This window comes from Homo sapiens, chromosome X, assembly GCF_000001405.40.
Source record: "Homo sapiens chromosome X, GRCh38.p14 Primary Assembly".
NCBI lineage: Eukaryota > Metazoa > Chordata > Mammalia > Primates > Hominidae > Homo > Homo sapiens.
The window spans coordinates 70,862,356-70,887,229 of NC_000023.11; the positions used below are offsets into that span (position 1 = coordinate 70,862,356).

Genomic DNA, 24,874 nt, shown 5'->3' on the forward strand with positions numbered 1-24,874 from the left:
CCTTTATGTTAGATGTCAGCAGCCATTCTACCTATGCTAACACCACTTCTAATTAATAGTCCTTTGAAAAAGAGATTTGTCTAGCGGAAATTACAGGGTAATTGAAATGGTCAGATTTTTATTGCCCATCATAAAGTGTAAAATTTATTCATCACTTAACAAAATTAATTCATTCTAAAAAACACTTTTGGTAAAATAATTACTAATCATATATTTATACTGACTTGAATTTCCAGTTCTGAAAATTTTTGAAAATGTTTCTTTTTGGCTGGGCATGGTGGCTCACACCTGTAACCCCAACACTTTAAGAGGCTGAGGTGGGTAAATCACCTGAGCTCAGGAGTTCAAGACCAGCCTGACCAACATGGTGTAACCACATCTCTAGTAAAAATACAAAAAAAAAAAAAAAATTAGCTGGGAGTGGTGGTGCATACCTGTAATCCCAGCTACTAGAGAGACTGAGGCAGGAAAGTCTCTTCAACCTGGGAGGCGGAAGTTGCAGTGAGTTGAGATCATGCCATTGCATTCCAGCCTGGGCAATAAGAACACAACTCCAACTCAAAAAAAAAAAAAAAGAAGAGGGGAAGTTCGGACTGGGCAGAACTCAACACAGTGCGACAAAGCGGCTGTGGCCAGACTGCCTCTCTAGATTCCTCCTCACTGGGCAGGGCATCTCTGAAAGAAAGGTAGCAGCCCCAGTCATGGGCTTATAGATACAACTCCCATCACCCTGGGAGAGAGCACCTGGGGGAAGGGGCGTCTGTGGGCACAGCTTCAGTGAACTTAAACTTTCCTGCCTGCCGGCTCTGAAGAGAGCAGCTGATCCTAACAAGGAGGATCCTCCCAGCACAGCACTCAAGCTCTGACAAGGGACAGACTCTGCCTCCTCAAGTGGGTCCCTGACCCCCGTGCCTCCTGACTGGGAGAGACCTCCCAACAGGGGTCGAGAAAAACCTCATACAGAAAAGCTCCAGCTGGCATTAGGCTGGTGCCCCGCTGGGACAAAGTTTCCAGAGGAAGGAGCAGGCAGCAATCTTTGCTGTTCTGCAGCCTCCACTAGTGATAACCAGGTGAACAGGGTCTGGAGTGGACCTCCAGCAAACTGCAGCAGACCTGCAGAAGAGGGGCCTGACTCTTAGAAGAAAAACTAACAAATGGAAAGCAACAACATCAACATCAACAAAAAGGACCCCCACACAAAAACCCCATCCAAAGATCATCAGCCTCAAAGATCAAAAAGGTAGATAAATCCACGAAGATGAGGAAAAACCAGTGCAAAAATGCTGAAAATTCCAAAAACCAGAATGCCTCTTCCCCTCAAAATGATCGCAACTCCTCTCCAGCAAGGGCACAAAACTGCACAGAGAATGAGTTTGACAAATTGACAGAAGTAGGCTCCAGAAGGTGGGTATAACAAATTCCTCTGAGCTAAAGGAGCATGTTCTACCCAATGCAAGGAAGCTAAGAACCTTGATAAAAGGTTACAGGAACTGCTAACTAGAATAACCAGTTTAGAGAGGAGCATAAATTAACTGATGAGCTGAAAAACAGCAGGAGAACTTCGTGAAGCATACACACGTATCAACAGCCAAATCAATCAAGCGAAGAAAGGATGTCAGAGATTGAAGACCGTTGAAGACCAACTTACTGAAATAAGGCGTGAAGACAAGATGAGAGAAAAAAGAGTGAAAAGGAACAAACAAAGCCTCCAAGAAATATGGGACTATGTGAAAAGACCAAACGTATGATTGATTGGTGTACCTGAAAGTGACAGGGAGAATGGAACCCAGCTGAAAAACACAATTCAGGATATTATCCAGGAGAACTTCCCCAACCTGGCAAGGCAAGCCAACATTCAACTTCAGGAAATATGGAGAACACCACTAAGATACTCCTCAAGAAGAGCAACCCCAAGACACATAATCATCAGATTCTCCAAGGTTGAAATGAAAGAAAACATATTAAGGGCAGCCAGAGAGAAAGGTCAGGTTACCCACAAAGGGAAGCCCATCAGAATAACAGTGGATCTCTCTGCAGAAATCCTACAAGCCAGAAGACAGTGGGGGCCAATATTCAACATTTTTAAAGAAAAGAATTTTCAGCGGGGTGCAGTGGCTCACACCTGTAATCCCAGCACTTTGGGAGGCCGAGGTGGGCGGATCACAAGGTCAGGAGTTCGAGACCAGCCTGGCGAATACAGTGAAACCCTTTCTATACTAAAAATACAAAAAAAAAAATTAGCTGGGCATGGTGGCACACACCTGTAGTCTCAGCTACTCGGGAGGCTGAGGCAGAAGAATCACTCAAACCCGGGAGGCAGGGGTTGCAGTGAGCCGAGATCATGCCACTGCACTCCAGCCTGGGTGACAGAGCGAGATGCCATCTCAAAAAAAAAAAAAAAAAAGAAAAGAAAAGAATTTTCAACCCAGAATTTCATATCCAGCCAAAATAAGCTTCACGAGCAAAAGAGATTTCCAAACAAGCAAATGCTGTTGGATTTTGTGACCACCAGGCCTGCCTTACAAGAGCTCCTGAAGGAAGCACTAAATATGGAAAGAAAAAACCGGTAACAGCCGCGGCAAAAACATACCAAAATATAAAGACCAATGGCACTATGAAGAAACTGCATCAATTAACGAGCAAAATAACCAGCTAGCATCATGATGACAGGATGAAATTCACACATAACAATATTAACCTTAAATGTAAATGGGCTAAATGCTCCAATTAAAAGACACAGACCGGCAAATTGGATAACGAGTCAAGACCCATCAGTGTGCTGTATTCAGGAGAACCATCTCACACACAGAGACACACATAGGCTCAAAATAAACGGATGGAGGAAGATCTACCAAGCAAATGGAAAACAAAAAAAGCAGGGGTTGCAATCCTAGTCTGATAAAACACACTTTAAACCAACAAAGATCAAAAGAGACAAAGAAGGGCATTACATAATGGTAAAGGGATCAATTCAACAAGAAGAGCTAACTATCCTAAATATATATGCACCCAATACAGGGGCACCCAGATTCATAAAGCAAGTTCTTAGAGACCTACAAAGAGACTTAAACTCCCACACAATAATAGCGGGAGATTTTAACACCCCACTGTCAATATTAGACAGATCAACGAGACAGAAAATTAACAAGGATATTCAGGACTTGAACTCAGCTCTGGAGAAAGCAGACCTAATAGACATCTACAGAACTCTCCACCTCAAATCAACAGAATATACATTCTTCTCAGCACCATATAGCACTTATTCTAAAATCGACCACATAATTGGAAGTAAAACACTCCTCAGCAAATGCAAAAGAACGGAAATCAAAACAGTCTCTCAGAACACAGTGCAATCAAATTAGAACTCAGGATTAAGAAACTCACTCAAAACCGCACAACTACATGGAAATTGAACAACCTGTTCCTGAATGACTACTGGGTAAATAACGAAATTAAGGCAGAAATAGTGAAGTTCTTTGAAACCAATGAGAACAAAGAGACAACATACCAGAATCTCTGGGACACAGCTAAAGCAGTGTTAAGTGGGAAATTTACAGCACTAAATGCCCACATCGGAAAGCTGGAAAGATCTGAAATCAACACCCGAACATCACAATTAAAAGAACTAGAGAAGCAAGAGCAAACAAATTCAAAAGCCACCAGAAGACAAGAAATAACTAAGATCAGAGCAGAACTGAAGGAGATAGAGACACAAAAAACCCTTCAAAAAAATCAATGAATCCAGGAGCTGATTTTCTGAAAAGATTAAGCAAATAGATACACCGCTAACCAGATTAATAAAGTAGAAAAGAGAGAAGAATCAATTAGACAGTAAAAATGATAAAGGGGCTATCACCACTGATCCCACAGAAATACAGACTACCATCAGAGAATACTATAAACACCTATACACAAATAAACTAGAAAATCTAGAAGAAATGGATAAATTCCTGGATGCATACACTCTCCCAAGACAAAACCAGAAGATGTCGAATCCCTGAATAGACCACTAACAAGTTCTGAAATTGAGACAGTAATTAATAGCCTACCAACCAAAAAAAAAAAAAAATCCCAGGACCAGACAGATTCACAGCTGAATCCTACCAGAGGTACAAAGAGGGGCTGGTACCATTCCTTCTGAAACTATTCCAATCAATAGAAAAAAAGGGACTCCTCCCTAACTGATTTTATGAGGCCAGCATCATCCTGATACCAAAACCTGGCAGAGACACAACAGAAAAGAAAATTTCAGGCCAATATCCCTGATGAACATCAATGCGAAAATCCTCAATAAAATACTGGCAAATCGAATCCAGCAGCACATCAAAAAGCTTATCTACCACGATCAAGTCAGCTTCATCCCTGGGATGCAAGGCTGGTTCAACATAGGCAAATCAGTAAACGTAATCCGTCGCATAAACAGAACCAATGACAAAAACCACATGATTATCTCAATAGATGCAGAAAAGGCCTTCAATAAAATTCAAAACCATTTCATGCTAAAAACTCTCATATCTCAAAATAATAAGAGCTATTTATGACAAACCCATAGCCAATATCATACTGAATGGGCAAAAGCTGGAAGCTTTCCTGTGGAAAACTGGCACAAGACAAGGATGCCCTCTCTCACTACTCCCATTCAACACAGTATTGAAAGTTCTGGCCAGGGCAATCAGGCAAGAGAAAGAAATAAAGCGTATTCAATTAGGAAGAGTGGAAGTCAAATTGTCTGTGTTTGCAGATGACATAATTGTATATTTAGACAATACCATCATCCCAGCCCAAAAACTCCTTAAGCTGATAAGCAACTTCAGCAAAGTCTCAGGATACAAAATCAATATGTAAAAATCACAAGCATTCCCATACACCAATAATAGACAAGCAGACAGCCAAATCATGAGTGAACTCCCATTCACAACTGCTACACAGAGAATAAAATACCTAGGAATGCAACTTACAAGGAATGTGAAGGATCTCTTCAAGGAGAACTACAAACCACTGCTCAAGGAAATAAGAGAGGACACAAACAAATGGAAAAAAATTCCATGCTCATGGATAGGAAAGATTAATATCATGAAAATGGCCATACTGCCCAAAGTAATTTATAGATTCAATGCTATTCCCATCAAGCTACCACTGACTTTCTTCACAGAACTAGAAAAAACTACTTTAAATTTCATATGGAACCAAAAAAGAGCCCGTGTAGCCAAGACAATCCTAAGCAAAAAGAACAAAACTGGAGGCATCACACTACCTGACTTCAAACTATACTACAAGGCTACAGTAACCAAAACAGCATGATACTGGTACCAAAACAAATATATATACACCAATGGAACAGAACAGAGGCTTCAGAAATAACACCACCCATCTACAACCATTCGATCTTCAACAAACTTGACAAAAAAAAAGCAATGGGGGAAGGATTCCCTATTTAATAAATGTGTTGGGAAAACTGGCTAGCCATATGCAGAAAACAGAAACTGGATTCTTTCCTTACACCTTATAAAAAAATTAACTCAACATGGATTAAAGACTTAAACATAAGACCTAAAACCATAAAAACCCTAGAAGAAAATGTAGGCAATACCATTCAAGACATGGGCATGGGCAAAGACTTCATGACTAAAACACCAAAAGCAATTGCAGCAAAAGCCAAAATTGAAAAATGGGATCTAATTAAACTAAAGAGCTTCTGCACAGGAAAAGAAACTATCGTCAGGGTGAACAGGCAACCTACAGAATGGGAGAAAATTTTTGCCATCTATCCGTCTGACAAAGGTCTAATATCCAGAATCTACAAGGAACTTAAACAAATTTACAAGAAAAAAACAAACAACCCCATCAAAAAGTAGGCGAAGGATATGAACAGCCACTTCTCAAAAGAAGACATTTTTGAGGCCAAAAAAACATATTAAAAAAGCTCATCATCACTGGTCATTAGAGAAATGCAAATGAAAACCACAATGAGGTACCATCTCACTCCAGTTAGAATGCTGATCATTAAAAAGTCAGAAACAAGAGATGCTGGTGAGGATGCGGAGAAATAGGAACGCTTTTACACTGTTGGTGGGAGTGTAAATTAGTTCAACCATTGTAGAAGACAATGTGGCGATTCCTCTGGTTTCTAGAACCAGAAATACCATTTTGACCCAGCAATCCCATTACTGAGTATACACCCAAAGGATTATAAATCATTCTTCTATAAAGACACAGGCACACGCATGTTTATTGCAGCACTATTTACAATAGCAAAGACTTGGAACCAACCCAAATGCTCATCAATGATAGACTGGATAAAGAAAATGTGGCACATATACACCATGGAATACTATGCAGACATACAAAAGAATGAGTGCATGTCCTTTGCGGGGACATGGATGAAACTGGAAACCATCACTGTCAGCAAACTAACACAGGAACAGAAAACCAAACACTAAATGTTCTCACTCATAAGTGGGAGTTGAACAATGAGAACACATGGACAAGGGAGGGGAACATCACATACCCGGGCCTGTCAGCGGGTGGGGGCAAAGGGAGGGAGAGCATTAGGACGCATACCTAATGCATGCGGGGCTTAAAACCTAGATGACAGGTTGATAGGTGCAGCAAATCACCATGGCACATGTATACCTATGTAACAAGCCTGCGTGTTCTGCACACATATCCCAGAACTTAAAGTAAAATAAAATAAAATAAAATAAAATAAAATAAAATAAAATAAAATAAAATAAAATAAAATAAAATAAAATAAAATAAAACAAAATAAAATAAAGAAAAGAAAAAGAAAATGTTTCCTTTCTTTATTCCAAAGTTCCAAAGTTTGCTAATCCTTCAGTATTTTCAAAGACTCTGATCTCTCAATTATTGCCCCTTTCTAAAAGTATCTTGAGTACCTCCCTCTCAACTTATTCCTTCTTCTCTACCTTCAAACGTACCCATCTCCTTACCTTGAAAAAAAAAATCAACTAACCCCACTATGCTTCAAGCTTGCATCCCATTTCTCCTCTTCCTTTGATTGACAAGCTTCTTGAATTGAAAAGTCTGTCTACTAGCTCTACTGTCTTGCTACCCACTCATCTCCTTAAATGTCCACAATCTGTTTTGCATCCTTACCACTTTACTAAAACTGCACTCCCAAAGATCACCTTCCTTAACTTCATAGCAACATTTCAAAATGGCCATAACCTTTTTGAAAAATATTACTCCCTTGGAGTTTCAGACCAGCCTAAGCAACATGGCAAAACCTGTATCTACAAAAAATACAAAAATTAGTAAGGTGTGATGCCACATGCCTTGTAGTCCCAGCTACTCGGGAAGCTGAGGTAGGAGGTTGACCTGAGCCCAGGAGGCAGGGGTTGCAGTGAGTCAATATTGCACCACTGCACTCCAACCTGGGTGACAGAGCCAGATCCTGTCTCAAAAAAAAAAAAATTACCCTCTTGGCCTGAAATATCCTGGTCCTTGTGTGGGAAATATCTTAGTCTAAGAACTTTGTCTGCTCCAATCCTGACATTCATAATCCAGCTGTTTATAGTTATCACCAATAAGTCTTCAAGCCAAAGGCAGCTGAGGCTGAAACAGAATGCTACTTCCATATAAAGATGTTTTCTTTGTTGCTGTTGCTCCATCTTGTCTTCTCACCAGCCTGTTCTTGACCTCTCTATATTATAAACATCTTGGTTACATAATTGGTGACTGATACCTTTGAACATCCGCTTTACTCTGCTCTACCCACAGCCTGAAATTGAATTGACTTTAGATAAACACGGGGTTATACCCTCTGACATTTATAAATTTTTAAATTATTGTTTATCTAGCTTTAAACTATTCCTTCCGAAATCCTCAAGCATAATTTAAGATTGGTATCTTTGTTCTGGTATCTTACCTTTTCCCTTTCATTTACTATGTACCATAACATGGTACGAGAACCCTATACGGAGAATGCACTCAATAAATGACTAATAAATATCCTGTAGAATTTTTTTTTGTTTTTATGAGAGGGAGTCTTGCTCTGTTGCCCAGGCTGGAGTGCAGTGGCGCAATCTCGGCTCGCTGCAAGCTCTGCCTCCTGGGTTCACGCCATTCTCCTGCCTCGGCCTCCTGAGCAGCTGGGACCACAGGAGCCCACCACCACGCATGGCTAATTTTTCATATTTTTAGTAGAGACGGAGTTTCACTGTGTTAGTCAGGATGGTCTCAATCTCCTGACCTCGTGATCCACCTGCTTCAGCCTCCCAAAGTGCTGGGATTACAGGCGTGAGCCACTGTGCCTGGCCAATCTCCTGTAGAATTTTTTGACTGTTCCTTTTGGTCATCTATCCCTATTCTTTTTATTTTAACTTTGAAGCTGGTAGATTCAGAGTTAAAATCTCACTACTTTGTTCTTCTCTCAATACCACTGATTCTTAAATTTTGGTGTGCATGAGAATTCCTGAGACATTTTTTCAAATTATAGACATGCCCAGGTTTCATCCTGAACCTAAATGAATCAAAACCACCAATGGAAGGGCCTGGGCATCTGTATTTTTCACAGGCTTCACAGGTGATTCTGATTTTTTGGGGGGAGGGGGAGGGACGGAGTTTCACTCTTGTCGCCCAGGATGGAGTGCAATGGTGCGATCTCAGCTCACTGCAACCTCCACCTCCAGGGTTCAAGCGATTCTCCTGCTTCAGCCTCCCAAGTAGCTGGGATTACAAGCACACACCACCATGCCCGACTAATTTTTGTATTTTTAATAGAGACGGGGTTTCACTACGTTGGCCAGGCTGGTCTTGAACTCCTGATCTCAGGTGATCCACTCACCTAGGCCTCCCAAAGTGCTGGGATTATAGGCGTGAGCCACCGCTACCAGCCTGATTCTGATTTATACCAATATTTAAGAACCACTGCTCTTTATTTTTTTCCTCAAAGAACTCAACTACTCTTCTGTCTTCAACTACCACCTCTGTGTAAATCATTGCCAAATCTGTAGGCTCAGTCCTGACCTTTCTCATAAGCTCTAGTCTCACATCTCCAACCTTATTGTCATCTCAAATGCAACAGGTCTAAAACTAAAACTTACAAGTCATTCATCTACTTCTGACTTTCCTGTTCATTGTTCCATAATTCCTCCAAATAATAAAGAATTATAGCTTATAAATCTTCATGACTTATTTCATCACATCCAGGCACACTAAATTTGTTTTTAAGGAAACAAAATATATTCCAATAAACATATTTTTGAAACAAAATTATTTTAATTTGGAGGCCTCCTGCGCTGATAATCTATTCTCCACTGTATCAAAAAAAGTATGATACACATAACAAGCACCCAAATATCTGATTAAGAACTGCTACGTGAAATGAGACAGTACATGGGACTCTCTTCTTTACTGTCTCTTGTCCCCTCTCTTATCCTTCCCTTTTCTTCTCTTATCTCTTGCTTTTCCCTCTTCTTCTCTCCCCTCTTGCCTTTCTCCTCTTCTTGCTTCCCCCTTTTTTCTCCACTTTCCCCACCCATTTAGTATTTTTCCTCTTACAGCACCCCCCCTTTTTTTTAACAGTCTCTTTTCTCTTCCCTAGCTCTCTCATCTCCCTGGCCCTAACCCCATCAACACTGTGTGGTTCTGCCCTCACCCCTTGCCGTCCCTTAAAAAAAAAAAAGAAAAAGAAAAAAAGAAATGAGACAGTACATGGGAAGAGGCTGTGACACCCACTTCATCTACCATATCCCTATCTGATAAGCAGTAAACAGCTAAAGCAATACTTCCTCATATGCAGAATGGTAGGAGTTAAGAATTAACGCACTTTAATATCACACGGTTCACCTGTGTACTAAGTTTCTTCCACTGATAAATTCCTAGCTCTTACCTCCCCATAACTACAGGATCTGAGGCTCCTGGGAGCAATGATATCAATTTATCTAAGAGTTAAAGAGCTAGAACTGTTCTCTAAACATGCTAATAGAGTGGACTCATGAGCAAGTATATTCTTGATTATATTAAGCACAATTACCCTATATCTACACGGAAGTTGTATACAGTTTTGTTCATATTCACAAAGATAAATAGTTAGTAGTAAATTATATTTGTTGCATACAGACAAAAGTCATTTGTCTTTACAATGTCAAGCAGTCCAGAGGTTCACCCTTTGGTATGTTACTTCAATGTATCCTTTATAATTGGCAATATACTTCCCATAAATGCATTTGCTGTCACTATGCCTGTTGAAAATCACTAACTGTCAGCACACTAGACTTTGCCCATTTAGCTAAAGCACTAGAACATTGCCAGACAGTGGACCACATTCAAAGCATCCAAGAAGATGAGTTTAGTTTGAGATTTTTGGTTTTTTTGTTCTTGTTGTTTGCTCTCACAGGTAGAAATCATTTCTATAGTTTCTCAGTAACTCATTCCAATGTTTATCAATCCATCTCCTGAGGAAACTATTCTTTACACTTTTTAAAATCTGAATATGTCATATGGCAACACTTATTCTATTATTAATAGAGGGGAAACTACTATTTGATGGTCCTTCAGAACCCTGAAGATTTTGATCATCTCCATGAGAAATAATCCATGTCCTTTAACATTTCTTTAAGTTCTCACTGTCCCACCTTTTAATCATCTTTGTTGTTCACCTCCTGACTATTTCTTGCAGTGATATCTTTAAACGTTTGTTAATAAGGAGCTAACCTCTGAAAAAAAAATCATAAAACTGAGGGAGGCCATTTGCTTGAGAAACCATTGTTCCTGGGTTGTTTTGTTTGTCTTTTAACAAATCTCTATCTAAGAATGGGTCAAAACATTATTTAAACTGCAGGAATACTACCCAATATATAGTAAGAACACGCCTCATAATACATGTCACAATATGTATACATACATCTAATTTTCTGCTCTTCATTTACAAGCCAACCTCCTCCTATGGTAAGTGCCCAGTTCCATAGGTTTACTGCCATTTCTTCAATCTGGTCAAAGAGAAACATTTCCTTAGTTAGTTAAAATACTGGCCACCTCCAACGGTATTTTCATTCTTGAATGTTGTATGCTTATGTAACTATTGTGGGTCATTTCCAGGCCCTCCATAATCTAGTCGCATTCTACCTCTCCCCGCAAAAACTTACCCACTGTTAGAGTAATTATCTATTTCCTGAACACAACTTGTTCATTCCTATCAATGTGTCTTTATTCATACTATTGATATACCTTCACCTGATATACCTCCTCCCTTTGTTTTTATGTAACTCAAATCCATTTCAGTCTCACCAACAACATAAATGAAGCTTTCAGCAACCATTACAGTCTACGTTGTTCTTTCTTCTTTGAATTCATATATTCATTAAGTTGTATACAATTTGGCAATTAATTATATTACTTTGTATCATTTATTCTTTGTTTTATTTCTTTTCTTTAACCCAATTTATGCACAGCAGTGGTACAAAATGTATGTTAGTTTTAAGTCTTTTCTTCCATGCCACTTTTCTCACTTACCATTTCACATTTTTCTGATGAGCTTCAGTTTAAACAGATGATTTATTTAACATGTGATATAGTTTGGATATTTTTCCCCTGAGAATCTCATATCAAAATTTGATCCCCAATGTTGGATGTGGGGCTGATGGGAGGTACTTGGGTCACGGGGATGGATCCCTCATTGTCTTGGTGCTGTCCTCACAGTAATGAGTGAGTTCTCAGTCTATTAGTTACTGCAAGATCTGATTCTTAAAAAAGAGCCTGGTACCTCCTCCTTTCTCTTTCCTCCTCTCTCATCATGTGATGCCTGCTCCCTTTCCCCTTCCAACATGATTGGAAACTTCCAGAGGCCCTCACTGGAAGCAGATGCCAGTGCCATGCTTCTTATATGATCTGCAGAACCATGAGCCAAATAAACTTCTTTTCCTTATCAATTACCCAGCCTCAGGTATTTCCTTTATAGCAATGCAAACAGCCTAATGCAGCATGGTTGTCATTTCACTTATTATTCTGGGGCTAATTATCATGTCCATCTCCATCACATAGTATCCTCAATGCCACAGTTGATCAAATGATGACTTCCTTTTTTTTTTTTTTTTTTTTTTTGGAGACAGAGTCTCATTTTGTTGCCCAAGCTGGAGTGCAATGGCGTGATCTCGGCTCACTGCAACCACCACCTCCCGGGTTCAAGTGATTCTCCCACCTCAGCCTCCCAAGTAGCTGGGATTACAGGCACCCACCATAATGCCTGGCTAATTTTTGTATTTTTACTTGAGATGGGGTTTCACCATGTAGGCCAGACTGGTCTCGAACTCCTGACCTCAGGTGATCCGCCCGCCTCAACCTCCCAAAGTGCTGGGATTACAGGCATGAGCCACCACACCCGGCTGACTTTCATACTAAGTATTATTTCATTTGTATCACTAAAAACACATGGAGTTAATAACTGCACTCCAAATTACCCAGAAGAACAAATGATTTGACATATTATGATGGGAAATGAGCATCCAGACTAAATAGCTTAAAGAAGCTACTTGTTTGGCATTTTGGAAAGCAATTTGGCAACATATAAAAATGTTCGCCTGGGTGCGGTGGCTCACACCTGTAATCCCAGCACTTTGGGAGGCCGAGGCGGTCGGATTGCCTGAGGTCAGGTGTTCGAGACCAGCCTGGCCAACATGGTCAAACCCTGTCTCTACTAAAATATACAAAAATTAGTCGTGCGTGGTGGCAGGTGCCTGTAATCCCAGCTACTCGGGAGGCTGAGGCATGAGAATCACTTGACCCCAGGAGGCGGAGGTTGCAGTGAGCCAAGATCATGCCACTGTACTCCAGCCTGGGCGAGACAGAGCGAGACTCTGTCTCAATAAAAATAAATAAATGAGTAAATAAATAAATAAACAAATAAAGTTCATATCTTTTGTCCCAATAGTTGCACTTTTGAGACTTTATCCTAAGAAATAGATGAAAATGTGTGGGGGGATAATCTTTGCACTTAATAGTGTTCTTCATATCATTATTTATAATAGTGAAAAATGAGGAACAATATGAGAAACAATATAAATATCCAATAATAAAGAAATAGGTGAATTATGATAACCTTCCTTGATGGAATAGTATTCATCCATTTAAAATAGTGGTCATGGCCAGACATGGTGGCTCACGCCTGTAATCCCAGCACTCTGGGAGGCCGAGGCAGGTGGATCACTTGAGGTCAAGAGTTCGAGACCAGCCTGGCCAACTTGGTGAAACCCCGTCTCTACTAAAAATACAAAAAAAAAAAAAAAAATAGCCAGGTGTGGTGGTGCACACCTGTAGTCTCAGCTACTCGGGAGGCTGAGGCAGAAGAATCACTTAAACCTGAGAGGTGGAGGTTGCAGTGAGCCGAGATCGTGCCACTGCACTCCAGCCTGGGCGACAGAGCGAGACTCTGCCTCAAAAAAATAAAAATAAAAACAAAAATAAAATAAAATAGTGGTCATGAAAACTATGTTTTTAACACGGGAAAATATTTATTACATGTCTAGTGAAAAAGGAAAGAAGGAAAGATACAAAACTGTATGTACAGAAAGTTGTACATATGCAAATCTTACCCCAAAGAAGAACTTCAATAAAATATTGGATTCTAGTTAATGATATGCACACTAAAACATTTAGGGGGGAAGTGTACTGTTGTCAGCAACTCATTTTAAAATGCACCCAAAAAATAAGATGCGCTAATGGACAAATGTATATGTGATGAAGCGAATATGGTAAAATGTTTACAACTGTAGAATGTAAGTGGCTGTTACATAGGTGTCCAGTGTAATATTCTTTCAACTTTTCTGTTTGAAAATGTTTATTTTAAAATGTTGGGAAAACAGAGCAAATTGCCTTTTATGATGCCAGAAATATTACATGTACAGTATAATTATAGCTAAATAACATTTAAACTGTAAAACTATTAAAGAAAATACATTAAAATAATAGTAGTTATATTGAAGTGGTGTGTTTGCATGTGATTTTGTATCCATTTTTTTAAACTTTCTGTGAAGTTATGTTACTTTATGATTTTAAATAAATTCTTGTATTTTCTCATATTGTGTTAGAAAGGATAAGATAAACTATGACTGTAAATACTTCATAATCAGAAAACATATTTATTCAACACATATATATTAAGCACCTAAGATGTGGCAGGTTTTGTCTTAGGTTTACATAAATGTATAATGATAAGCATGGTAAATACATGCTGCAAACAGAAGTAAATAATATGAAGATTAGACTTTCCAGAAAGAAAATAAATTCAAGGCATTTCCAAAACCAAGCAGATCTTCTTCAAAAATAAGACCAAACTCTTATGGCTCATGCCTGTAATTCTAACACTGGGAGGCCAAAGAGGGCAGATTGCTTGAGCTCAGGATTTCAAGACTAGCCTGTGCAACATGGAGAAACCCCATCTCTATGAAAAATACAAAAAATTAGCTGGGTATGGTGGCACATGCCTGCAGTCCCAGCTACTCGGAGGGCTGAGGGGGATCACTTGAGCCTAGGAGGTCGAGGATGCAGTGAGCTGAGATCATGCAACTGCACTCCAAACCAAGACACTGTCTCAAAAAACAAACAAACAAACAAACAAACCCAAACTCTTGGAATCTTATAATTTGTTTTCACTAACAGCTAAGTACAGTAAGAGGTTATGATCTAAAAAGAGATTTACCACCGGGCACAGTGGCTCACACCTGTAATCCCAGCACTTTGGGAGGCCGAGGTGGGTGGATCTCTTGAGGCCAGGAGTTCGAAACCAGCCTGGCCAACATGGCAAAAACACATCTCTACTAAAAACACAAAAATTAGCCAGGTGTGGTGGCGCCTGCCTGTAATCCCAGCTACTTGGGTGGCTGAGGCACGAGAACTGCTTCAAACCAGGAGGCAGAGGTTGCAGTGAACTGAGATCCTGACACTGCACTCCAGCCTGGGCAACAGAGTGTGATTGTCTTAAAAAAAAAAAACAAAAACAAAAACAAAAACTGAGATACCACCTCACAGTCACTAGGATGACTACTATCAATAAAAAAACAGAACAACAAGTATTGGTGATAATGTGAAGAAACTGGTACCCTTGTTCACTACTAATAGAAATGTAAAATGGTATAGTTGCTATGGAAAACAGTATGGTGGTTCCTCAAAAAATTAAAAACAGAATTGCCATATGATACAGCAATTCCAATTCTGGGTATATATCCAAAAGAATTAAATGCAGGGACTTGAACAGAAATTTCCATACCAATGCTCATAGCAACATTATTCACAATAGGCAAAAGGTAGATGCAACCCAAGTGTCCATCAACAAATGAATGGATAAACAAAATGTGGTACACACATACAATGGATTATTCAGTCTTAAAAAGGAAGGAAATTCTGACACATGCTGCAACATGAATGAACCTTGAAGACATTATACTAAGAGAAATAAACCAGCCACAAAAAGACAATTATTACATGATTCCACTTACATGAGGTACTGAGAGTAGTCAAATTTATAGAGAGAGAAAGTAGAATGGTGGTTGACAAGCTGATCCCAAAATTCGTAAGAATTTTAGAGGGCAAGGGGGAGTTGTTTAATGGATATAGAGTTTCAGTTTTGCAAGACGAAAAGGGTTCTAGATAATAGCTGCACAATGTGAACATACTTAACACAAGGGAACTATACACCTAAAGATAGTTAAGATGGTAAATTTTGTGTTATGTGTATTTTACCGCAATAAAAAACACAATGAGATAACACTTCATACCCACTAGAATGACTATAATCAAAAAGACAAATAATGACAAATGTCAGCAAGGAGGTGGAAAAACTGGATCCCTCTATCCCTCTTTTTTTTTTTTTTTTTTTTTTGAGACGGAGTCTCGCTCTGTCACCCAGGCTGGAGTGCAGTGGTGCAATCTCGGCTCACTGCAAGCTCCGCCTTCTGGGTTCACGCCATTCTCCTGCCTCAGCCTCCCAAGTAGCTGGGACTACAGGCGCCTGCCACCACGCCCGGCTAATTTTTGTATTTTTAGTAGAGACAGGGTTTCACTGTGTTAGCCAGGATGGTCTCGATCTCCTGACCTTGTGATCTGCCCGCCTCGGCGTCCCAAAGTGCTGGGATTACAGGCGTGAGTCACCGTGCCCAGCCAACTGGATCCCTCTTATATTGCTAGTGGGAATGTAAAATGGTGCGGCCACTTTGGAAAACAATCTGGCAGCAGCAAACCAACATGGCACATGTATACATATGTAACAAACCTGCCCGTTGTGCACATGTACCCTAGAACTTAAAATTTAAAAAAAGTAAAAAAAAAAAAAAGTTTAGAGTTAACACATGGCCCAGCAATTTCATTCTTAGGTACAAACCTAAGAAAAATGAAAACATAAAAATCTGTACATGAGTATTTATAGCAGCATTATTCATAATAGCCAAAAGGTGGAAGCAATTTCATTCTTAGGTACAAACCTAAGAAAAATGAAAACATAAAAATCTGTACATGAGTATTTATAGCAGCATTATTCATAATAGCCAAAAGGTGGAAGCAATGAAAACGTTCATGAATAGATGAATGGACAAACAAAATATGGTATATCCATACAATGGGATATTATTCAGTCATAAAAATGTATGAAGTACAAATACATGCAACAATATGGATGAACTTTGAAAACATCTTGCTAAGTGAAAACAGTCAGTAAACCACACATTGTATGATTCTATTTATATAAAATGTCCTCATTAGGCAAAACCATAGAGACCAAAAGTAGATTAGTGGTTGCCTAGGGCTGAGGGTGAGGGAGGGAAGAGGATGGGAGGAAATGGAGAGTGTTTGTGAACGGGTGTGCGGTTTCTTTTTGAGGTGATGAAAATATTCTAAAATTAACTAACTGTGGTGATAGGTGCACAACAACTCTGTGAAATACTAAAAACTATTGAATTGTATACTTGAAATGGGTGAATTGCATGGTATGTAAATTATATCTAAATAAAGGTATTTATATATACATAAACACATATATACATATATAGATACTTATATATATAAAGAGGAAGAGAGATTTACAGTAAACTTTCCTCTCACCTTTCCATACAAGTAGTCACCAAAATGGAAGTATTTGCCCAAGGTAAATATTCTCAAAAGTGTTTCAAGCCTCAAGACAGCTTCCATATTAAGTAAGTAACAGACCTTCATTTAAACATTAGAAAATTACCCCCAAAAAAAGCACTTCTGAAGGCTTATAGTCAACTGAGTTCTCCACTACTGGGTGGCTCCACTACTTTGTTGCAAAGGGAAGGAAAAGAGAACTAGTATGTGCCCAGGACCTTATATATGTTATTTTGTTTACTATTCATAACAACACTTGGAGGTGGGTATTACTATTATCATTTAACAGGTGAGAAAACTGAAGCCTGGGGAGGTTAATAAATATTAATAATAAATAACATTGCTAATAAATAAATAAATAATAAATATTAAACGAGCACATATGTTCCCATTGGTTTCTAAAATTTTTCCCCCTAAATTAGGTGTGAACATCCAAAAATAGATTTTTATATGTTTAGCAATGGTTAAGCATGAAGACTACTTTTTTACCTATATAATACATTGGTTAAAATGAAGAATCATCGAAACTTATCATAAACAGAATTATTTTTATACTAACCTGAATGTCTGTTATTTCAGCCATAGACTCCCTGTTGATATTTGCTATGTCGCTGAAGAGTCTATCAATTGCCTCTGGTATGTTAGGTGAATTATCATTTGTAACCAGGTTTTCAACAACTTCTGAAATGACAATGGATGATAAATGTGCTGTGAACTATTACCATTGGCTAAATGTAGCAAATCATTTTTAAATCTATGTCTAAATCATTGGCCAAATGAATACAGCATGAAGGAACTTGATCCTTAGAGTAAAACCAAACTGGAGATTTAAAGTTTCTTTAAGCTAGAGTATAATTTTCAAATAAAATTTGCATTCTTTGGGAGTCACTTGTTTATAACTTAATCATTACTCATTCTCAGAAAGTAAAATGCATTGACTTCACAAATAGTAATGTTATTAGGTAATATTAAAAGTACAAAACAGGCCAAGCATGGTGGCACACGTCTTTAGCCCTAGCTAGTCCAAAGGCTGAGGTAGGAGGATCACTTGAGTCCAGGAGTTCAAGGCTACAGTGAGCTACGATCCTGCCACTGTACTCCATGCAGCATGGGCTACAGAGTGAGACCCTTTCTCTAAAACAAACAAACAAAAACCCTGCAAAACTGAACTTAACAGTGTCTTCAAAACCAGAAAATGTAGAAATTCTGAAAGAAGTTCTGAATATGTGCCCTGTAAAACTGAAAAACTTACTAATATTTTCAAGCATTAGACAGACATAGCTAACTGCTGGCTCTGAAGTCTTGAACTTACTTTGCAAGAAAAAAATGACATGCTCAATTAGCAACATTAACCAGATATTGAATCTGCACAAATGATGTCACCATTTTCTAAATGGTCTGAGCTCCAGACTCCAAATAGCTGAATCTTACCAGGCCATGGAATTCCTTCAAACCCAAGCATTAGCTGGGCAGGATGCTCCACGCCTGTAGTACCAACTACTCAGGAGGCTGTGGCAGGAGGATCCCTTGAGCCCAGGAGTTTGAAACAGGCTGGGCAACATAGCAAGACATCATCCAAAAAAAAAAAAAAAAAAAAAAAAACTAAAACTAAAACTAGACCGGGCCCAGTGGCTCATGCTTGTAATCCCAGCACATTGGGAGGCGGAGGCAGGCAGATCACTTCAGGCCAGGAATTCAAGACCAGCTTGCTCAGCATGGCAAAACCCCATCCCTATTAAAAATACAAAAATTAGCTAGGCGTGGTGTGCCCGCCTGTAATCCCAGCTACTGGGGTGGCTGAGGCATAAGAATTGCTTGAGCCTGGGAGGTTGAGGTTGTACTTAGCTCAGATCATGCCACTGAATTCCAGCCTGGGCAACAGAGCAAGACTGTGTCTCAAAAAAAAAAAAAAAACTAAAACTAAACAATAAGCATGATGTAGAATCACAATTGATGCCCTTCATATTATCAAAATTGAGGTTTTTTTCAAACTCGTGACAGAAATGTCCATAAGCTACATATTTCTAATTTCTTGCAACATTCTTGAGCCTCAAATTAGCAAAAATGTTAATATTCATAACAGTACTATAAAAGCACCTTCTAAAAGATTTTTAAGCTGCTAAAATAAACAGAACTTTTACCTTGCTACAGTAAAAAATAAATCAGCTACAAAAATTTCAGTTAAACAAATGCTTGAGGTGATGGATATCCTATTTACCCTGATGTGATTATTACACATTCTATGTCTGTATCAAAATATCTCATGTATCCTATAAATATATACACCTACTATGTACGTATAAAAATAAAAATTAAAAATTAAAATTCTAGCTAAACATAAGACTATAGATTCCAATAAAGACGTCACAAAGCAAATTAAAAAGTATTTAAAATTCACACATTTTAAATACTTTAGGTGAAAAACTATATATGAAAAGAAAAATACAAAAATTAGCCAGGCACGGTGGCACATACCTGCAGTCCCAGCTACTCCAGAAGGTGAGACAGGAGAATCTCTTGAACCCAGGAGGCAGAGGTTGCAGTGAGCTGAGATCGGCCACTGCACTCCAGCCTGGGCAACAGAACAAGACTCCATCTCAAAAAAAAAAAAAAAAAGAAAAAGAAAAAAGAAAAAAGAAACCCTCTATCTTTCTTTTTCCCATAAGTTGTTTAATGGAAAGACTGATGTTAAATATCTTGACTCCTCTAAGATTAGGTAAGTATTGGGCTGAGGGGCATATATTTATATAGCCCTTACTCAAAATATTGGTAACAGAATCAGGGAGATTTTAAAATTGATGTTTTTAAAAATACAAATATTGTTTAAAGAACAGATTTTTAAAAATATTTTTGAGAAGAAAACAAAACCCCAATATAAACTTTCGTTTGTTTGTTTTGTTTTGTTTTTAAGACAGAGTCTTACTCTGTCACCTAGGCTGAAGTACAGTGGGGGATCTTGGCTCACTGCAATCTCCGCCTCCCAGGTTCAAGCAATTCTCCTGCCTCAGCCTGCTGAGTAGCTGGGACTACAAGCACATGCCACCAATATACGTTTTAAAAAAAACATCCTGGCCAGCCGTGGTGGCTCATGCCTGTAATCCTAACAGTTTGGGAGGCTGAGGCAGGTAGATTGCTTGAGCTCAGGAGTTTGAGACCAGCCTGGGGAACACAGTGAGACTTCATCTCCATAAAAAACTTAAAAATTATCTGGGTGTGGTGGCTCACACCTGTAGTTCCAGCTACTCGGTGGCTGAGGTGAGAGGATCACTCCAGCCCAGGAGGTGGAAGCTGCAGTTAAGCTATGATCATGCCACGGCACTCCAGCTGGGTGACAGAGCAAGACCTTGTCTCTCAAAAAAAAAAAAATCCTAAGATGTTATTGTAGAATACCAATAATAGTTTCTGGTTACATAGTTTATGAGACTATGAAGACATATATTTTGATTTGTGAATGTTCTCTTAAGTGGTTAATGTTTTATTAACTCATTTTTGTCTAAATAATTCTGGTCCTTTCAAAACATATTTTCAGTGTTATTCAGCTGAGCAATTTCACCGACACCAGCTGAGGCAATGACAGCATTGCAGTCCTTTAAGGATAAAATGCAGTCAGCAAAGCTGGGTAAGTGATAGAGATCACATAGCTGAAAGGTTGAGAGTTACACTATAAAGAAGAGATTTGCATCTGGGAGAAGCTCAGAAAATAAATTCTATTTTTTGTTTTTGTTTTTGTTTTTGTTTTGAGACAGGGTCTTGCTATGTTGCCCAGCCTGGCCTGAAACTCTTGGGCTTAAGTGATCCTCCCATCCAAGTAGCTGGCATTACAGGTGTGTGCCACTGCATCCGATGAAAAGAACTTCTATAAATGCAGTCTACAGCTGGGCAAAGTGTCTCGCGCTTGTAATTCCAGCAATTTGGGAGGCCAAGGCAAGGGGATTGCTTGAGCCCAGGAGTTCGAGACTACCCTGGGCAATATAGACAGACCCCATCTTTACAAATAAATAAATAAAATTAGCCAGGCATGGTAGCCCACACCTGTGGTCCCAGCTACTCGGGTGGTTGAGGTGGGAGGATCGCTTGAGCCTAGGAGGTTGAAACTACAGTGAGTTGTGATCACGCCATTGCACTCCAGCCTAAGCGGCAGAGACTGTCTCAAATACAAAATGCAGTCTACTCCTGAGATGAGAAGACAGCAAACTGTATTAAGGTTTTGTCAAGCAAGATTGTACGTTTTGAAAAAAATTATTAAATTATCTTCCTGGCTACAAAAAGAAACTATGATTTACAACAGATTTTAGTCCATTTAATTTAAATGAGATGCATTCTAGTTAAAACTGGGGGTTCACTCGATTGAGGCAGCCACGTTAATCTGTATCAATTAATTCTGATTAAGTAGATAACATTCTAGGTACCGTATAATAGAAAATAAACATTTTCCCTGTCCTTGAGGAAGGGAGCTTCTGTTACAACATGCAAAAATCTATCAACTGTCCTGCCAAGTCTTTCCCTGTGACCTCCATCAGCTCAACCAGTCATTCAAAAGCCAAAGCAGCTCAAAGACCTGCCAAAATCAATTCAAGATTTTACTCCAAGTCACAATAATTATATGCAACTTCTTTAGTGAGAAAAGAACCAGAAATGACAATAAAATTAACATTTGCATATTGCTTTCCAGTCTCGAAGCTTTTTCATATGCATTCTCATTTAATCTTCAATCTATTCTGTAAGGAAGATATTTTTATTTCATAAGATGTGGAAACTAAGTTTTAACAAAATGAAGTGACTTTTTAAAAATCAGGCCTTTTTGCTGGATAAAGTGACTTCTTGATGGTGATAAAATAGAAAGTAGTAAGCTAGGACTTGAATTCAGGCTTTCTGATTTGAAATCCTGTACTTTCCACTATACTGGTTCTATCAGGAAGGATCTGGAACAAGTGATAAGCTAGGACACTCAGACAACTGAAAAACAGCAGAAAGGAAAGAAATGAGCCAAAAGCATTCAGAGCACTACACTATAGCTCTGATTGTGGGCTAAAGAAAACTATTCAAACTGCAGAGGTTGGTTTGAATGAGGACAGCCAAAATATCCAAAACAGTGTCAAAAGGGTCTGGCAAAATCAGGCAAACAGGTTTAGTCATAGACTAAAATTACATTGTAAATCGTAATTTCTATCCACGGTCACAAAGATAATAATTTTTCCTATATAATGTTCCAGGAAGTCCCAAATGACAAATTGGATATGGTACAAGAGAATCCAAGCAGCAAGTCATAAAGCAGAAGTCAGATGGAACTGTATGTACCATAGTTCCAACAGATCTATTCACAGCAGTGTATTGTAGTTCTGAGCAGTGTCCTGATCCTGGAGAGTTAACTAGGGATGGATGCAGGGCAGGCTAACCTCATGAAAATCATGACAAGCAGAAATGATACACCTCCACAGATGAAAAGCTCCAGCTCTCTGCTTCCTGGTGGGGAGGGAAAAGAGTTGATCTGTGCCTCTAGTGCCCCAACTTCTCCAGGGCTGCCAAAAGAACTTGCATATATCTCTCTAGTTTTGAGGCTCAGATGGGTCCGGCAAACTCTAGCTGCTCAGGGGAGAATGGGAGACAGTGGCTTGAGCTGGTACATGCCATAGCTCTCCACTCTGGCTCAGCCCAGAACAAGCAGACAAAAACTATAGCTTCCAGCTTCTCTCTGGGGAGAGAAAGAGGTGGTAGAGGCCCCCAGAATCTCTGCCAAGCCTAATTGGGGGGGCCCTTCTCCTGTACAAGACAAGCCCATGAAGAATGAGAGAGGTGCCTTAACACAGGCACCAACAGTGGGTCAAGGAAAATGAAAAACCAGGCAAAGATGTTCCAAACAAAGGAACAAGATAATCTCCATAAACCAACCCTAATAAATAGAGTTATATAATTTACCTGACAGAGAATTAAAACAACTCTCATGAAGATGCTCACTGAGGTCAAGAGAGCAATGCATGAACAAAGTGAGAATTTCAACAGAGATAGAAAATATTTTAAAGTACCAAAAATTTCTCCAAGAAGATATACAAATGGCCAACAGGTATATGGAAAAAATCTCAACATCACTAATCATCAGGGAAATGCAAACTAAAATTTAAAATTACAATGATATATCACCTCACATCCATTAAGATAACCACTATCAAAAAATAGAAAATAAGGCCAGGCGCAGTGGCTTATGCCTGTAATCCCAGCACATTGGGAGGCCGAGGCAGGTGGATCACTTGAGGTCAGGAGTTCGAGACCAGCCTGAGCAACATGGTGAAACCCCGTCTCTACCAAAAATACAAAAATTAGCTGGGCACGGTGGCACCACCTGTAGTGCCAGGTACTTGGGAGGCTGAAGCAGGAGAATTGCTCAAACCTGTAAGACAGAGGTTGCAGTGAGCCAAGATCGAGCCACTACACTCCATCCTGGGTAAGAGTGAGACACTGCCACAAAAAAAAAAAAAAAAGAAAAAGAAAGAAAGAAAGAAAGAAAGAAAAAATAAGAAGTATTGGTGAGGATGTAGAGAAATTGGAACTCTTGTACACTGTTGGTAGGATGGTAAAATGGTGCAGCTGCTATGGAACACAGTATGAAGGTTCTTCAAAAAATTAAAAATACAACTCGCATATGATACAGCAATTACACTTCTGGGTATTTATCCACATGAATTGAAATCAGGGTCTTGAAGAGATATTAGCACTCCCATGTTCACTGTAGCACTATTCACAATAGCCAAGATGTGGAAATGATGCAAATGTCCACCAGCAAATGAATGGATAAAGAAAATGTGGTATATACATACAATAAAATGCCATTTAGTCTTCAAAAAGAAGGAAATTCCATAATATGTGACAATATGGATGAACCTTGAGGACATTATACTAAGTGAAATAAGCTAGTCACAAGACAAATACTGCATGGTTCCACTTACATGAAATACCTAAAATAGTCAAATTCATAGAACCAAAGAGTAGAATGGTGGTTTCCAAGGGCTGGGGGAAAGGGGTAATAGGGAGTTACTAAGCAACGGGCATAATGTTTCAGTCAAGCAAGATGAATAAGCAATACAGATCTGCTATACAATACTATACTTACAGTCAATAATGTATACTTAAAGTTTTGCTGACAGCAAATCTCATATTAAACGTTCTTACCACAATAAAAAAAGAAATGATACAACTCCAAAGCTAAACAGGTGCATAGAATATGCCCCTAGTATGTTAAAGCTCAAATCTGATGGCCAGTATAACTTAATCCAAACCAACAGCTTCCCTACTCTACAATGGTACTATTCTTTCTTCCTTTGAATAGAACAGGCTCAGAGAATAGAGCAAACCTAAACCTACAAACTGGGCTCATCGGAAGATAAAGCAATGTTAAGTTTTGGAAGGCAATTGGCTGGGGGTGGAGGGAGGCAAGAGCTGACAATATCATGCTAATCACAAAGGAATTTCCAACTTGATTCTGGTGAGGAAACCTATCTAGTCACATTCAAAACACTAAACTTTAGAGACTAAAGGATAGCTGTGAATGCGCTGGTTCACACCTGAAGCCAACACATCTCAGAGTCTCGCCCAAGGCCCACAGCAGCAAGGCCCACAGTGGGTATGTACTCCCTGGTTATCATTGATGGTTATTCAGGGCCCAAGGGCTCTTTAGTTAGCAGGTGATGAATCCTACCAGGTCTGTATCCTTCCCTTCAAGGCAGTGCATTCACAGCTGTGGTGGCTACAGGGAGAGACCCCTTCTGCTTAAGAAAAGCAGATGGAGGAGTAAGTCTTGAGCTTAGGT

The 24,874-nt window shown here is 39.2% G+C and overlaps 1 protein-coding gene across 4 annotated transcripts in view; it reads right to left on the bottom strand.

The window, feature by feature from the left end:
• The window catches only part of TEX11 (testis expressed 11), a 397,485-nt gene that overhangs the window by 351,129 nt on the left and 21,482 nt on the right, over positions 1-24,874 (bottom strand). For all 4 annotated transcript variants that reach the window (XM_017029649.1, XM_011530994.2, NM_031276.3 and 1 more), the window contains 2 exons: positions 17,633-17,754; positions 10,868-10,952 (listed from right to left, as the gene is read on the bottom strand). In XM_017029649.1, the coding sequence (XP_016885138.1) occupies positions 10,868-10,952; positions 17,633-17,754 (207 nt within the window). The remainder of the gene's footprint in view (positions 1-10,867; positions 10,953-17,632; positions 17,755-24,874) is intronic.